Source organism: Homo sapiens, chromosome 4, assembly GCF_000001405.40.
Source record: "Homo sapiens chromosome 4, GRCh38.p14 Primary Assembly".
NCBI lineage: Eukaryota > Metazoa > Chordata > Mammalia > Primates > Hominidae > Homo > Homo sapiens.
Window position 1 is genome coordinate 93196627 of NC_000004.12, and position 16540 is coordinate 93213166.

At 34.2% G+C, this 16540-nt stretch overlaps 1 protein-coding gene across 17 annotated transcripts in view; it reads left to right on the forward strand.

Moving 5' to 3' along the window:
• GRID2 (glutamate ionotropic receptor delta type subunit 2) overlaps window positions 1-16540 on the forward strand; it is a 1506491-nt gene that overhangs the window by 892661 nt on the left and 597290 nt on the right. For 16 of the 17 annotated variants that reach the window (NM_001440459.1, XM_024454024.2, NM_001510.4 and 13 more), the window contains one exon: window positions 10778-10831. In NM_001440459.1, the coding sequence (NP_001427388.1) occupies window positions 10778-10831 (54 nt within the window). Of the gene's footprint in view, window positions 1-7207; window positions 7461-10777; window positions 10832-16540 lie in introns of those variants that run through there. The other variant, XM_024454025.2, reaches the window with a different exon arrangement.

Below are 16540 nucleotides of genomic sequence, written 5' to 3' on the forward strand. Positions count from 1 at the left end.
AGTATACTACCAAGCTACACAAAGACTTTCATTAGTGTAAGAACAGTAGTAGACTAATTAACTGTCTAACTACAGAAACTAGATGCTTAATTGCCATGTTGCTTTATTGGCACAGTATCTAAGAATCGTCGTCCAATTTCTCCTCTAGAAGCTTTTTTGTTTTCCTCCTCTGGTGGCAATGGGAAGTTTCGTTGTGATGAAAGAACAGTAACAGATAACTGTTTCTCTGGTTAAGTGTCAGGTGCAAATACTTCTCTGGTTAAACATCAGGAATATACATGTGTATGTGACTGTATGTGTGTGTGTACATGAAATGTTTAATCAGTTAACCAGTGTAGCAAATTTCTCTCATTCTGAAAAGAATATGAAAAGTAAGTCTTACTAAAGGAAAAGCACATTTTCTTATACCACTTTAAGGCAAATAGTCATGGAATCACCTGTATTGTTCAAAGTCTTCTATGGTTTAGTCTCTTTCTCTATCAGTTATACAATGGATGCACGTAAGTTAACACAGTGGAGTATAAATAAATAAAAGTCTAGTGTATCCCACAAAATGTTCTGCAACATTCAGTTTAACTGTAATTCTAATTTTGAAAACTACATAACAGGTTCTGCAACTTAGAAGCAGAGGGCTATGAGAAAATTTTGTAGAACATATCTTTACTAATTATTAACTCTTGCATCCACTCCTGTTTCGCTTTATGATTTGGGTGAGTTACTTTAACTTTTTGTTCCTCAGTTTCTTCATATTTAAAATGCACATAGTTGTAGTGTTTGCATGATAAGGATGTTGTGATAATTAAATGAGTTATTATCTACGTGTGTGTGTGTATATAAAAACACATAGTGTCATACATAGTAAGCACTCAACAAATATTAGCTTATACTATTATTATTAATGACATACTGTAAATAGCATTCAATAAGCATTTACTGGACAGAATAAATGTTGTCAAACATGACCATTTATGAGTACTGTCAAAAGTATTACAGTAACTTGAGTGATTTTTGAACACATGTAATGTTCCAGATGCTTTAGATACATTTAGCCATTTAGTCCTCACTATGCCTCCATGAAGAAAATGTCATTCAGCTCATCAGGAACCTGAGACTCAGAGTATGTAACATACCTTGTTACAGTTAAGGAGGCCCAGCATTTGAATTCAAGCCCATTTACTCAACTTTCATTTTATTTTTCTAGTATCAGATAGTCTCCAAGTCCTGAGGTATTTGGCTTTGCAGATTTTGAATTTAATATTTCTATACTTAATTACTATATAAATAGTTAAGATCTTCTCACTTGAGAAAATGTAAATTGATTCATTTTCTGATTTAATTTTTTAATTAAAATTTTTTCTAATGACTTCCTTTTTATATGAGCTTATCAAATAGTTTAGTCCTAGGTGAGGTATGGATATCCACAGATGTATAAGGACGAGTTAGGGCTATATGGTTCTCTTATTTCCGCAAGCAACATTTAGGAAAAAAAATCTGACCCATTCCTAGCAATCCATTTTATTGAAACCCTACTATGTGTCACTCACTGTAAAGGGATAGACCAGTGACCAAAATGAAGTCCTTACTACCATGAAGCTTATTCTACAGCACAGAAAGAGATGGTAAATAAGTGACTCTGTGTGTGTTTATTTGTCTCAGGTGGGATAAATGCTCTAAAGAATAGGACAAAAGTAACAGAGACTCATGGGGGAGCAATAATGGATGATCATAGAAGTCATGCCTGATGAAGTCACATGCAGAGACCTAAATGAAATGAAGGAGGGAGCTATGTGTGTGTCTCTAATGGAAGAGCAATCCAGGAGGCAACATAAGGACAAAGGCTGAACTATACTAGAGGACCAGCAGGAAAGTGATTACAGCTGAACCAGAGGGACTAAGGGGTTATATAAAATACGTACAACATGGCCCTCACAGCCACTTACATAGTTATCTACGATTTCATTAAGGCTGGGATAGAGGTTGGCTCAGAGTGTCAGGCAAGCATAAGGGTTGGGATAATACTGCCTGGAGTTAGAGAGGTAGGATGGGAAGGGTTTGACATTTTGTTCACAATTTGAGTTATGAGAAACACTTTGTCAAACAGAGAAACTGAGAAGAGGTCAAAAGGAACAAAGCAAAGCATGAAAGTCCACAGCTGTGGAGAGCTCATATATTGCATTTAGACGTGATGAATAGACTTGAAAAACTTTATTTTTTCTTTATTGGCTTCAAGATAGCAAGAAAGCCTTAGTTCATAAATCCTAGCAATTAAGTGCCAATTTACCCCCAAATCATTTTAAGCGTTGATCAAAATCCAACTAAGAACTCATATTCATTTGTTTGCCTGTCATACTTAAGAATTAATTTACTCTGCCAAGGGTCATTTAGCTATTAAAAAATAATAGCTACAAGAAAATAAATATTTTAGTGTAATTTCCTGATGGTGCCAAAAGTTACCATATTAGCATATGGTAAAATAGGCAAGGGATGAGGGGTCCTTCAACAAACACCGCTTTTCCTAATGTTTTGGCATAATGCACCTTAAATCACCACAGCAAACGCCCAGGAAAACCCCAATGCCAGCAGAAACTCACAGAGAATTAAAGACAGTAACACAGTGGTTTCTGACACTGGCAATGATTTTTAAATCTTTATTCTCATGAGGTAAAGTACTGAAATCATGAATTTGCTTTTAATCACTGTTCAATCTTTGTTCAATAATATAGAACACAGGAAAGTTGGTCTATGCCACATGATGAATGCAGTCTATCTCTTGCATTACACATTAAGAAGCAGAGCAGGTAGCACAGTGTTGGCTAAGTCTCAGCGGTGGCATATTTTCATCTCCCACAGGGTGTGGGAAGACCCCACTGCACAGCAGTAACAATAAATCTAGCATATCCGTTTATGAAATAACTTTGGCAGTAATGGCAAGAGGATTTGGATGAAAGTGTATTTGTGGTCTTCCAGCTGGAAGATCAGAGCAGAGATTCTAAAGCAAAAAAGCAGAGTGGAATGGCAGATAGTGGCTGCTTGGAAAAGAACAGAAGACAGTTGAGGATCCATGCTGAGCTCAAGGGGAAATGCAAACAAGACAGTCCTTTCAGAATATCCCCATGCTGCCCAGTGTTGGCGTGAGGGATTACTAATGCCATCTGCTGGATATTCTTGGGATTTAAAAATGGTATCTAAACAAATAATACTCCAGTCTCCCTATGTCTTGGCTTCAGTTCTTTAATGAGAAAAACAGCAACAATAACCAGCTAAAGAAAACAAGTGAAGAAAACAAAACTCAGGTCATGTACATGTTTCCTGTACCTTGAGAAGGTTGGAGTTTCGTATGGCCACTGTGTTTCAGACATAGTATTTATAATAATTGCATTTTTTTGGTTGGTGTTTGTTTGTTTAGTTTTAGCAGAACTCTATAGTAGTGCACTTTGGCCATATGCAACACTCAGGCAACTGGATATAGTTTGAACTGTAAATCCACAAAGCCCTTGCTAAAAATATATTATACACTATAAACTTTGTATACTACATACTCCCTTTTGTTGGAGAGAACATTGTGGTTTTATTTTGTCTATTTTGTTTTTAAATAGGGATAAAAATAATTAAAAGGAAAGAAGCACAAGTATCACCATTTGGTCAAAAACATTACATAGGCCGGGTGCGGTGGCTCACGCCTGTAATCCCAGCACTTTGGGAGGCCGAGGCGGGCGGATCACGAGGTCAGGAGATCGAGACCATCCTGGCTAACACGGTGAAACCCCGTCTCTACTAAAAATACAAAAAATTAGCCGGGCGTGGTAGCGGGCGCCTGTAGTCCCAGCTACTCGGGAGGCTGAGGCAGGAGAATGGCGTGAACCCGGGAGGTGGAGCTTGCAGTGAGCCGAGATCGCGCCACTGCACTCCAGCCTGGGCGACAGAGCGAGACTCCGTCTCAAAACAAACAAACAAACAAACAAACAAAAAAACATTACATATACATTTGTGTCATATAAAATACAGTAAGTCATCTTTTGTTTTTGTTTTGTGGAAATATTTTCCTCTGTCGTGCTCTCTGTAGGTTTATTGTGGGATTGCAATTTAAAATGACAAAATTCCTTCTGGTATTTCAGTAAAATTTTAGAACCTTTAGAAATGTGTGGCTAAATTAACATTGATTATAGTCTACATGTTCCAAACCGTACTAATCCCATGAGACTTGCAGTGGAAAAAAATGGTTTCTGTGGTCAAATCCATCTGAAATATTCTATAATCCAAATATCTTCTCCTAGAGATCAATAAGGCACATGAACTGAAATGTGAGGAGCTGATATTTACTGACAGTTTACCATATACCATTATCTCATTTAATGTTCATTCTGATTCTATTGTGTGGGCACTATCATTATTCTTACTGACAAAAAAGGAAACAGGTTTATAATTTGTTCAAAGTCACACTCAGAAAATAAAGGTACTAAATCTGACTTTAGAGATTGCACTCACAAGCACAAAGCTATATGTTCCATAATATCAATCAGTGAAATAGTATATATTAATATGATTTTTATGTTAATTATATTTCTATATTCATGTTAACCTGTTTAAAGCTTTGAGGAATAATGTGGTAATAGCATCTGTTTAACTTTGCTTAGCCCAATATTTCTAAATCTACTTAGCTACAGAAAACTCATTACTTTTAGTGGAACTAGTGTCCTACAGAATATAGTTCCAAAAATGCTGATATAAGTAAGCTATAATATTGCTATAGATGAGAAGCCAGAAAGGGAGTAGCTCTTTAGTGTTTCTCTAGCCACTTGTTCCAGCGTATCTGCTGGTGTCCTCTGCCTATGCATGCCCCTTGCTGATCTCCACCTGATGATTTGGAAGGGCTAGAAATAGGGAAGCAAACACCTGATATCTTTGCTGCTACAGGTGCACAGAGCACTGGAACTCTCTGCGTAAATGTGTAATATTTAGTACATCCTGCAAAAGGAACAAGCTTAATTTAGTTAAGCCACAAGGTTGAGTGATAAACAGCATGTTGCTGTTATTGTTTAGTCAATTAAATCGTCCCCTGCACTTGTAGGAACTGTTCCACATTTATTACTAGTGAGAAACAAGCTCGGGCAGGGTTGTTGATTTCCTTGCATTGGGTTGTGTTATATTTAGCACATCTAAAGATTTGAGAATGAATGATGGAAGACACAGTGATAAATTGTCGAGCTTTTCCAAAGATTCAGAAGTTCTAAAGTTCCTGCCAGTGACAGATGGTCTGTCCTTACTCATTGCTTGTCTTCCTGACAGGACTTGATTTTTTTTTTTCCTTTTTTGCTCAATTCCCTTATAGTAAGCTCAGCTTCTTGGGAGGTGGGATAGTTTAATTTGTTATAATTACATTGCTATATTTCAAAGTGGCATCAACTCTATATGAACATGTCATGCTCTTTTTAGATTATTAATGTGCACATGTATAATGACAAAAGAGAATTATAGGATAAGAGGAAGAGAGGAAATTCATTACCAAGGGAAAGCCATACCTCAATCTTTCCTGTTATTTTGATAACCAAGCATATTATTAAATAGAGTCCTCATTGGATAGTGGTTTTTTAAAATCAATATTATTTTAATACCTTCAATATTTTATAATAATCGAAAACTTTTTGAAATTTTTGTTTAAACAGCACTAGTGTTTATGAGCTTGTAAAATATTTCTAAGAATTCACACAATGAGCCCAAACAACTATAATAATGATGTGCCTAGATATTAAACAGGTTCCAAATGAAAAAAGGAAAATTGCAATCAAATTTCTTAATTCCTTTCATTGATTTCAAATACGTTCACTGCTAAAATAGGAGATTAGAAGATATGCTAAATAGATAAGGAATGTGGGAAAAGAAAACAATTTCCTGTGGCAGTAAATATAAAGGCTTTAAAAATTCTAGCTTGTCTTCAAATAACTTCTAAAATCCAGAAGTAATTTAGCCCTCAAGTTAGTAATGCCACTAGTGTGATAGAGCATTATATAGCTGCAAGTGTTACCAAGTGGAAAGAGATCAACATTATTTAAAACTATAAAAACAATCAGGTGAATTGATTTGGGATTTATAATAGTTGTCTTCTGTTATCTACACAAAGAGCTCAGAAATTCTTTTTAGGTAAATTATTTTTTTGTAAGTGCTCACTCCATATTAGCTCAATTTGATAATACATGAGAAGCATAAACAATATTATCACTGCTTTTTCTCCTTTATTTCCTTTAATTCTACTTCTACTGGAGTTTTAACCACTTTGAAGTGATATGCATATAAGTGCATATATGTTTCACTGAATATATATATATCATACTACTATACATTCTTTTTTGTGTGTGTGTGTATGTGTGTGTATAATACACTACTCATTTAAGTGAGAGAACTCAAAGCTTACTGGATTTCCAAGGTCTAGGCTATTGAATTCCATTTTATCTTTTTATTCCCCTTACTAAATGCTCCTACCATTACTGATATCAGTTACCTTTTTATTCAGTGGCTTTTTAACATTGCTTTATTTTGGTAACATTTGATTACAAAATCTCAGAGAACTCATGCCAGCCCACTGGTTATGCATGAAGATGTTAACCTAGACCTAGGGAAATTATAACCCTTGTTTAGTGAATATTTTCTCAGATAATAAATGGAAGAATTAACTTTCTGTGTAGAACATTACAAAAAATTTCAAGCTTCTTTAACACATGATGTCACAATAATACATGGATTTTAGTTGTGTATATTACATATACATTGATATATAATTAAAAAGACAAGACATATCTGTTTTTTTATTCTTAAGGACCATTCTAGTATAATTCGTTTTTCTTCTCCAGATAAAAATGTGTTTGTAAAAAAGATTCTAAATATTCAATATTTTTGAAAAGGCCAAGAAATATTGCATAATTTTGAAATCATGCCATTATAAAATCACAGAATTAAAAGTTACTCTAGTGAGTATGTTTATTAAAATTTATTAAGATTAGAAAAAGTGCATAGCTGAAGTTAATAAAAATGCTTTGCATTAAAGATAAGATGGGCTAAATTAGTCTAACAAGTAGACCCAAAATGTAATATTCTACTACTAAAGATTTGTTTCATGTCAGCTCAGCACTACAGCATAGAGTAGGAAAGGGGAGTCTGCTCCATGCACTGGAGCTACTGTGGCTTCCAAGGTCTCTAGGCGTGACGTCACAATCCTACTAAGCTGGAATGGACAGAGAGCAGACACAAGCACATGGGAGGTTTTATGAGTCAGGTTTGAAAGTGGCGTACATCACTCGGCTCACATTCTATTGGCTTAGAACTCAGTCACATGGCCTTGTAATACCCTGCAGTGGAGGATGGGAAATGTAGTCTAGCTGAGTGTCCCAGCAGAAGGAGAGAATGGATTTTGATGATCATCTAGCAGTTTCTACCACATGAACCCTTGACTTTGCTTAAAAATTGAGGTGACTTTAAATGATTATGCTATTAATATAGTCTAGTTTTTCTGATAAACTTTGTATCCACTCACTTGTTTGTAGGGCAGGGTATTTTTTAAATTCATTTAGTAACCTAAATTGGAGACTAAGTTTGAGGACTAATGATTTTAGAATAGTTGGTCCAATAGAACTCGTAGGAGACCTGTTAACTTGAGGACCCAAAAGAGATTCAGATAGACTCTTTCTTAAAAATGCACATTAAGACATACAGGACTCATACTGAAGGTTCACAGATACTTAGTACTTGCCTATGGTGAAGAGCACTCAATTTAGAACATGAAGATAGATGATTTATTTATTTATCTGTAGTAATGTGCTAATGTTTGCTTGTAACAAATTTATACTGCTAAAATATCTTAGATGTTAATACTCATGAATAAAACCAAAGACCAGAAGGAGAGACTATCTCCTTGCTGACCCTAAGCAACAGAGGATAGTACAGTGAGTAGAATCATGGCTTTAGACAACATGTTTGTCTTTCTTCTTCACTGAAATACAGGATTTGTGCCTCAATATTATTTCTTGCTTTTGCCTAACATACTTTAAGATGAAGAGCCATGGGTAAATCTCATGGTCTAGATAAGTTACCAACAAGTTATCATCATAACTCTTACCTTCTACTTAGTCCATAAATGCTGTTGCACAAAACAACTTCTCATTTAGTAATTTCTACAGGTGATGCAGAGTGCTTATAGTTTAAATTTTGCCTTATCTGATTACATAGCGAAGATTATTATTTAGCTTCAAATGAGGATAACTTAAGCTAAATAGAATCACTGTACTACTATTGCTTCAGAAGTATTTTACATCCATGCTGCCTATCTATTGGTATTCACTTCTTTTTCTCTGAATTCTATTTACATATTTTAGTAGTGGTTTACCCCCTTGTACAACATATTTCTCTTTATTTTACCCAGAAACCCACTTTCCTTATATCTTAGTTTCTAGTTTGAAGTCTTTTTAATCTAATGGAGTCTCACGTATTTTCTGTTACTTTTTATTGTTAATAAATTTTTCATTATTTGTCTCTTAGATGTTTAAAGTAAAACAATCAGAAAATTTGAAATAAGGATTACCATTACTGGTATAAAGTGTTTTTTTTTTATTTTTTTTTAGCTAAAACTGAAAACTGCCATAGGTTATGTTTTAATTATTAAGTTTCACCTATAAGTGGAGTATACATATATTTCAAAAATGATAATAATAGTCCCTGGAGTGTGATGGTCCCCTTCCCGTGTCCATGTGTTCTCATTGTTTAATTCCCACCTATGAGTAAGAACATGTGGTGTTTGGTTTTTTGTCCTTGCGATAGTTTGCTGAGAATGATGGTTTCCAGTTTCATCCATGTCCCTACAAAGGACATGAACTCTTCATTTTTTATAGCTGCATAGTATTCCATGGTGTATATGTGCCACATTTGCTTAATCCAGTCTATCGTTGTTAGACATTTAGGTTGGTTCCAAGTCTTTGCTATTGTGAATAGTGCCGCGATAAACATACGTGTGCATGTGTCTTTATAGCAGCATGATTTATAATCCTTTGGGTATATACCCAGTAATGGGATGGCTGGGTCAAATGGTATTTCTAGTTCTAGACCCCTAAGGAATCGCCACACTGACTTCCACAATGGTTGAACTAGTTGACAGTCCCACCAACAGTGTAAAAGTGTTCCTATTTCTCCACATCCTCTCCAGCACCTGTTGTTTCCTGACTTTTTAATGATCGCCATTCTAACTGCTGTGAGATGGTATCTCATTGTGGTTTTGATTTGCATTTCTCTGATGGCCAGTGATGATGAGCATTTGTTCACGTGTTTTTTGGCTGCATAAATGTCTTATTTTGAGAAGTGTCTGTTCATATCCTTCGCTCACTTCACACCAGCATGGCATGTGTATACATATGTAACAAACCTGCACATTGTGCACATGTAACCTAAAACTTAAAGTATAATAATAATAAAATAAAATTAAAAATGATAATAATAATAAAGCTTAGAAGTAGATAACATATCCTCAATTATCTGATCATGTACTATCTCTACACCTCAATAAAGTCACAGGGAACAATGTGATGTATAATGGAATAGTATGAAACTTGTACCAAGTGTTAAAAAACAAAGATTCTGCAACTAATTACGTACTTTGAAAAAACATTGAGTCACATACCAAATATATTTCCAATTTTATTTTTTGTGATGCAATGCACCTCTTAGCAGGTGTTTCTCGGTAGAACAAAGAATAGCCAACAAAATGCAATTCACCTTCTATAACAACTCCTTGATAGTTATTTGAAAGCATCTTCATTTGAAACCCAATCGCTGAGTATTATTGCTAAAAACAACAGAATGACCTCTTACAAAAGAGTCTCACTTATTATATGCCCATGCCATGCATAAATCAGAAGAACGTGTCTTAGAATATGTATGATAAGATTTATTAGCGTAGAAACCTTCATATAGAAACTGCCCCTACTACACACACACACACACACACACACACACACACACACACGCATGCACACATCTGAGGCTTACTTCTTTGGCCTAAGCCAAGAATCATTTAGAATAAATGTATCTGAAGTTAGTCAAACAAAGAGTGCTACCCATATATTTTTATTCTTCCTTTTAAATATATTTTATTTCTTTTCATCTTATTAGCAATCTAAAAGCTACTAAAATTTCCTACCCATGCTTTAATGCTAGTATGTTGCCTATCACTTTTGGTATTTAACTTTCAGATAATTTTAGAATAGATCACCTTAGAATACACGTTACAAACATTTTCAGGAGAATACAGAGCAGTTTACTTAGTCAAAACAGTAGAAAGCATATACACAGAGAAGTAGCAGCAGATAAGAATATTAAGTTAGAGCCAGATTGTAGAAGCTATGTACTTTGATATTTATTAGGTAGATGATAAAAAGACATCAAAGTTTATTTCGAGTAGGGAATGTGATTTGAAATTTTAACTCCACTCTCCACTCTCAGTTAAATCACAAAACAGTGTATTTTATTTATGTATTTTTTTCTGTTGAAACCCATGGTTTTCTAGGTTTTGATGAATTATGTTTTCAAATATAATTAGCAAGTCTACAGTGCATCTATATGTATGTCAAATGCAAATGCATCTACAGTGTTTTGCTAATAATTTTTCCATCTTCAATTGAGTAACAAAGACCTTTCTAACATACGATTCATTTTTTGTCATTTGCAAAGTATATTCATTTAGTTGGGTTTGTTTTGCATGATTAATTTTGACTGATAGCTGATTTGTTTTCTATTCTAGGTTGTGGAGACTAATTTGGTTGCTTTTGACTGTCACTGGATCATTATAAATGAGGTAAAGCCAACTAAACCTTATTGTTAACTCTGTGTCCTTTTTTCACATATATAATTGTAGCATTTCCAATGGCCTTGAATTTTTAAGCGGAAACAAAACTTGAAGTAAACATTCAACTTACTGAGTGAATGCTGTTTAACAAAGATAGAATGAAGAGTTTTTAAAAATGATAAAGGGTTTTATATTAATAAAATAAATGGAGAAAGTCTTTCTCACTGAGTCTCTTTTAGCTCTTTCTGTTGGCTCATTCTGCCTGCTCAAGGAGATCATCTTTATAAAAAGTACAGTTCTACTTTGTAAGCAAAGTAAACTCCTCCCAGTGGAGTGCTTGTGTTCCATTTATATTTTAATGTTGTTTCTAGAACTGTTATGTCCACCCTCCTTACATGAGTATTAAAAAGTTCAGCATATGAATATGAATAAACACAGAACAGATTTTTCCCTTTTCATAAGGAAGTACAACTGTTTTCAAATCTTTAGACTTGTCAAATTCTTGTGAAAGTCTTTTGATTTTTGCAAAGATAATACATAAGATTAAAAATATATTACAACCTAAAAGCCCTGGGAAATAAGTTGTTCCATTAGGACCTGCCAGTCAGAAATGGAAGGAACAATGAGCAGGTCAGTCATGGACAAATAATGTGATCACATACATTTTTCCTCAACAAGATGTAGTACTTGGTCATACCTATTATTTATGAATAAAAATAATGTAATATTTACTTATTCATTATACTAAATACAGAATTCTAGAATAATAAGATTTCTTTTAGGGACAAAATAGTATTTTTGGATAAGAATCCTGGTTTTATAGTCAGCAAGATAGGTTTGATCCTGGCTATAAAACTTGGTAGCTGTCTTAACATGGATATCAGCTTCCTGTGCCTCAGTTTATTCATTTGGACAAGTATAATAACAATTACTTTGCATGTTCATAATAAAAGTTAAATGAGGTATTATCAGGTGCTCTTAACACAGTGCTTGACAAATGACACACAAGAATGGTACTGCGATAATGATCATATCACGTTAAAATTCAGAGATCATTCCCTTATATATTATCTTATGGAATACTAAACCATATTCTCTGAAGTACTGAGGGAATGAGGTCCATAGAGAATAAATTATTTTCCTCTTTTTACACAGAAAAGTGAAAATAATTCCCAGTTTCAAGTTGTTTCTCCTACACTACACTTCAATGATGGAATGATCCTTTTTATTTCAGAGTAAAGACGCTGAAAACACCTTACAAGTCTGTTTTTGGTCTGCCAAACATTAGGTTTCTATGAATTTTAGCTGTATTTCTCATGTCAAAATAAGATAGGTTTTTCTGAGATTTCCTCAGGCAATACGTATCTGGAGGTCTGCTTTTCAATAAAGTTCTGGTACCTTCTAAGTTTCTAGTATGTCTTAATTTTCATGTGGAATAACTAAACGTTGGGATAGAGGGAAAGACAAAGGAAAAGGAACTTAATAAACCTTCAAATTAAATATTTTCATTTCAATTTTTCTCCAAGGAAACTAAGTTTCAAAGAAATTAAACAATTCAGCAAATATTACACAACTATTAGTGATGATAATGGAATTTAAAACTTAATCTTTTTCAGTGTAAAGCTTTGGTTGGTTTTGTTTTGTTTTTGTTTTGTTTTTAGCTTTTAAGTTCAGGGGTACGTGAGCAAGTTTGTATGTAGGTAAACTCGTGTCATGGGGGTTTATTGTACAGATTACTTTGTCACCCAGGCATTAAGCCTAGTGCTCATTAGTTATTTTTCCTGTTCCTTTTCTTCTTCCTACTCTCTTCCCTTCAGTAGACCCCGAAGTGTGTTGTTCCCCTCTTTGTGTCCATATGTTTTCATCATTTAGCTCCCATTTATAAGTGAGAACATGAGGTATTTGGTTTTCTGTTTCTGCGTTAGTTCGCTGAGGAAAATGGCTTCCAGCTCCATTCATATTTCTGCGAAGGACATATCATTCCTTTTTTGTGATTGCACAGTATTCCACAATGTATATGTGCCACATTTTCTTTATCCAGTGTACTGTTGGTGGGTATTTATGTTGATTCCATGTCATTCCTATTGTGAATAGTGATGCAATGGACATAGGCATGCATGTGTCTTTATGATAAAACAATTTATATTCATTTGGGTATATACCCAGTAATGGGATTGCTGGGTGAAATGGTAGTTCTGCTTTTAGGTCTCTGAGGAAATCACCAAACTCTTTTCCACAATGATTGAACAAATTTACACTCCCACCACCAACAATGTATAAACATTCCTTTTTCTTCACAACCATGCCAGCATCTGTTATTTTTTGACTTTTTAATAATAGCCATTATGACTGGTGTGAGATGGTATCTCATAGTGGTTTTGATTTGGATTTCTCTAATGATCAGCGATGTTGAGCTTTCTTTCATATGATTATTGATCATATGATGTATTATTTTGAAAAGTGTCTGTTGATGTCCTTTGCCCACTTTTAAATGGGGTTGTTTGGTTTTGCTTTAAATTTGCTTAAGTTTCTTGTAGAACTTAAGGATAAATAGACCTTTGACAGATGCATAGTTTGCAAAAATTTTCTCCCATTCTGTAGGTTGTTCACTCTGATGATAGTTTCTTTTGCTGTGCATAAGCTCGTTAGTTTAATTCAATTTTGTTTGTCGATTTTTGCTTTTGTTGCAATTGCTTTTGTCATCTTTGTCATGAAATATTTGCCCATTTATATGTCTAGGTTGTTTTCCAGGGTTTTTATAGTTATGGGTTTTACATTTAAGGTTTTAATCCATCTTGTGTTAATTTTTGTATATGGTATAATAAAATGGTCCAGTTTCAATCTTCTGCATATGGCTTGCCAGTTATCCCAGCAATCATTTATTATTAAAGGAAAGCGTCCTTTCCCCATTGCTTATTGTTGTCAGCTTTCTCAAAGATCAGGTAGTTGCAGGTATGCAGCCTTATATCTGGGCAATCTGTTCTGCTGCATTCATCTATGTGTCTGTTTTTGTACCAGTATCATGCTGTTTTGGTTAGTGTAGCACTGTAGTATAGTTTGAAGTCAGGTAGCATGATGTCTCCAGCTTTGTTCTTTTCCCTTAGGATTTTGTTTTTTGATACATGCTTTTTGATACATTTTCACTTAGAATTTTGTTTTTGACCATGAGAACAACATGATCACCCACTGTTTAAGGCTCAATTTGTACTTTGGGAGAAATAGCCTCTTCATATTATATAGGTGTAACCTGAATAGACTAGCATGTATTTAATTGGTAATAAATAAATATTTTTTGATAATTATCTTTATGGTTTATATTTTTGAAATTTCTACTGCCTCAGTTATAATCTGATGGGAGCTATTTATGTCACTAGCTTTTTTGTATTAATTATTTTCTAGATTACTTTTTTTGAAATAAGGATTCTTCTAATTTTTTGTTTTTATTTCACATCCTACTTTGGACAGGATATAGACTACACAGATTTCCTGATGCAAAACCAGCGAGAGTCATTTTACCTATTCATGTCAATCAACCTTACTAGAAAAATAAAGTGACTTCTTACCTCTTTAGAGAAATGGATTAATCTGGACAAATTAATGCTTACAATCACTAAATTGAAATGGCCATTCTCCTGTATTGGTTGATAAGATTGCAGAAGGAACCCCTTAATTAATTTTTTTTAATATCCAATTTAGCTTCCACAAGTATACCTGAACTTAAAAGTATAAACTGAAATAGAGCTTCTGAGAACAACATGGTCATTTACCCACTGTTTAAGACTCAATTTGTACTTTGGAAGAAATGGCATCTTCATATTGTATAGGTGTAGCCTGAATAGACTAGCATGTATTTCATTGGTAATAAATAGTATGGAAAAAATAATAAAAATTTATGTTTTATTGTATTTTTCATAAGCATTATGATTCATGTTTTTAAACTTATTAAATTTTATTTCATAAAATATTACAAATGAAAATATTGTCATTAAGTGGATGCTCCATAATTTGGGCCACTATTTTGCAAAATAAAACATCCATATAAACAAAGCAATCTCACTGGTAAATAACTCAATACATGTTAGAAGTCTAGGAGATAATTAAGGAGACCTCAATTATTTTCTTATCCTTCAAACTTAGGTTTTCTACTGTGAATTGTCTAATAAAACTTCACCATCACCATCATTGAAACCGTTATCTCTTTCTTACCCACAGCCCTACTTTCTTGTCTTCCAGCAGAGGTATAATTTCTTTTGGGCAAGCCACACTGCCTAGCCTCTTAAAAATACAATGTTCACAACCCATACCATTTACATTACACAGGTTAGCACTTTTATCTGAACAAGGTTAAAACTCAGATAATGAGCAAATGTTTTCTGTATTTTAACCCATAAAAAAATAAACAAAAACCATTATTGGCTGGTATATCCAAAATCAACACTCTTACTTTCAAATTATTCCATTCACCCGCATACTTATTCTCATTCATCCACTTTATTCTGAAATATGCCTCAGAAAATGACTTACATTTTTCTTGCACACTTTTCATTTACATGCTTGTTTATGGGAATTTATAATGGATGAATTATAATTTTCCCTAGTTTCTATAAAAGAAAAAAAAAACATGGATTTCTCAATATTGCTAGGAAGCTACTAAACTCTAAATGTAATAATAAAAAAAACCCTCAAAAGATGCAAATGCCCGTTTTGGCTGAACGTGGAGAACATGAATCTGTCTAGTTTTGTTTGTGTAGCTATTATTTTGTTGCTAATTTTAAAATGGGTTGCAGACATTGATTTAATCTTATTGCATCAATAGTTTTTAAAGGAGGGAATATAAATCAAAGTTGGCATTGTGCATCATGATAGAAATTAATGTAGAAACTTGAAAACAATATATTTTTTTCATTTGCATTAAGTGTGCTATAATAATGAGAGGCTGTGCTAGCTCATATGGTGTAATCAATCATATGTTAGTACTTGGTAATAGTATTTATCTTCTCCCCGCAATCAGTGGATCCAGCTCAGAGCAGCCTTTCCGTGCAAGTATTGTCATCCCTTCAGGGCCCTGAAGCAGATGGCTTAACACTTTATTTAAGTTTTACAAAAGTTAGAAATTCAGATAGGAAGACGTGCACTGTTCAGAGCTGCAAGAAGCACAATGCTTCATATACCCTTCTATTGCCTGATAATATCAAATATGACCTTTGTTGTCTTGATTGACTTTACTGGCTTTTTACTTAATTTGAATAGTGTAAGACATTATTCTCTGTTAATCACTGCTGAGTATTACATTTAATGAGAAAGTTGTTGGTTTGGTTTTTTGTTGTTTTTTTTTTCTTTTTTGACAGAGTTTTACTCTTGTCACCCAGACTGGAGTACAATGGCGCGATCTTGGCTCACTGCAACCTCTTCCTCCTGGGTTCAAGCGATTGTCCTGCCTCAGTCTCCCAAGTAGCTGGGATTACAGGGATGTGCCACCACGCCTGGCTAATTTTTGTATTTTTAGTAGAAATGGGGTTTCACCATGTTGGCCAGGCTGGTCTCGAACTCCTGACCTCAGGTGATCTGCCCAACTCAGCCTCCCAAAGTGTTGGGTTTACAGGCGTGAGCCACCGTGCCTGGCCAGTTTGGGGGGTTTTGTTGTTGTTTTGAGATTTAAAAAGCCTATATGTGTAATGGATGTTTTTAATTTTTTCTAGTTTAATGATGAATTGAACT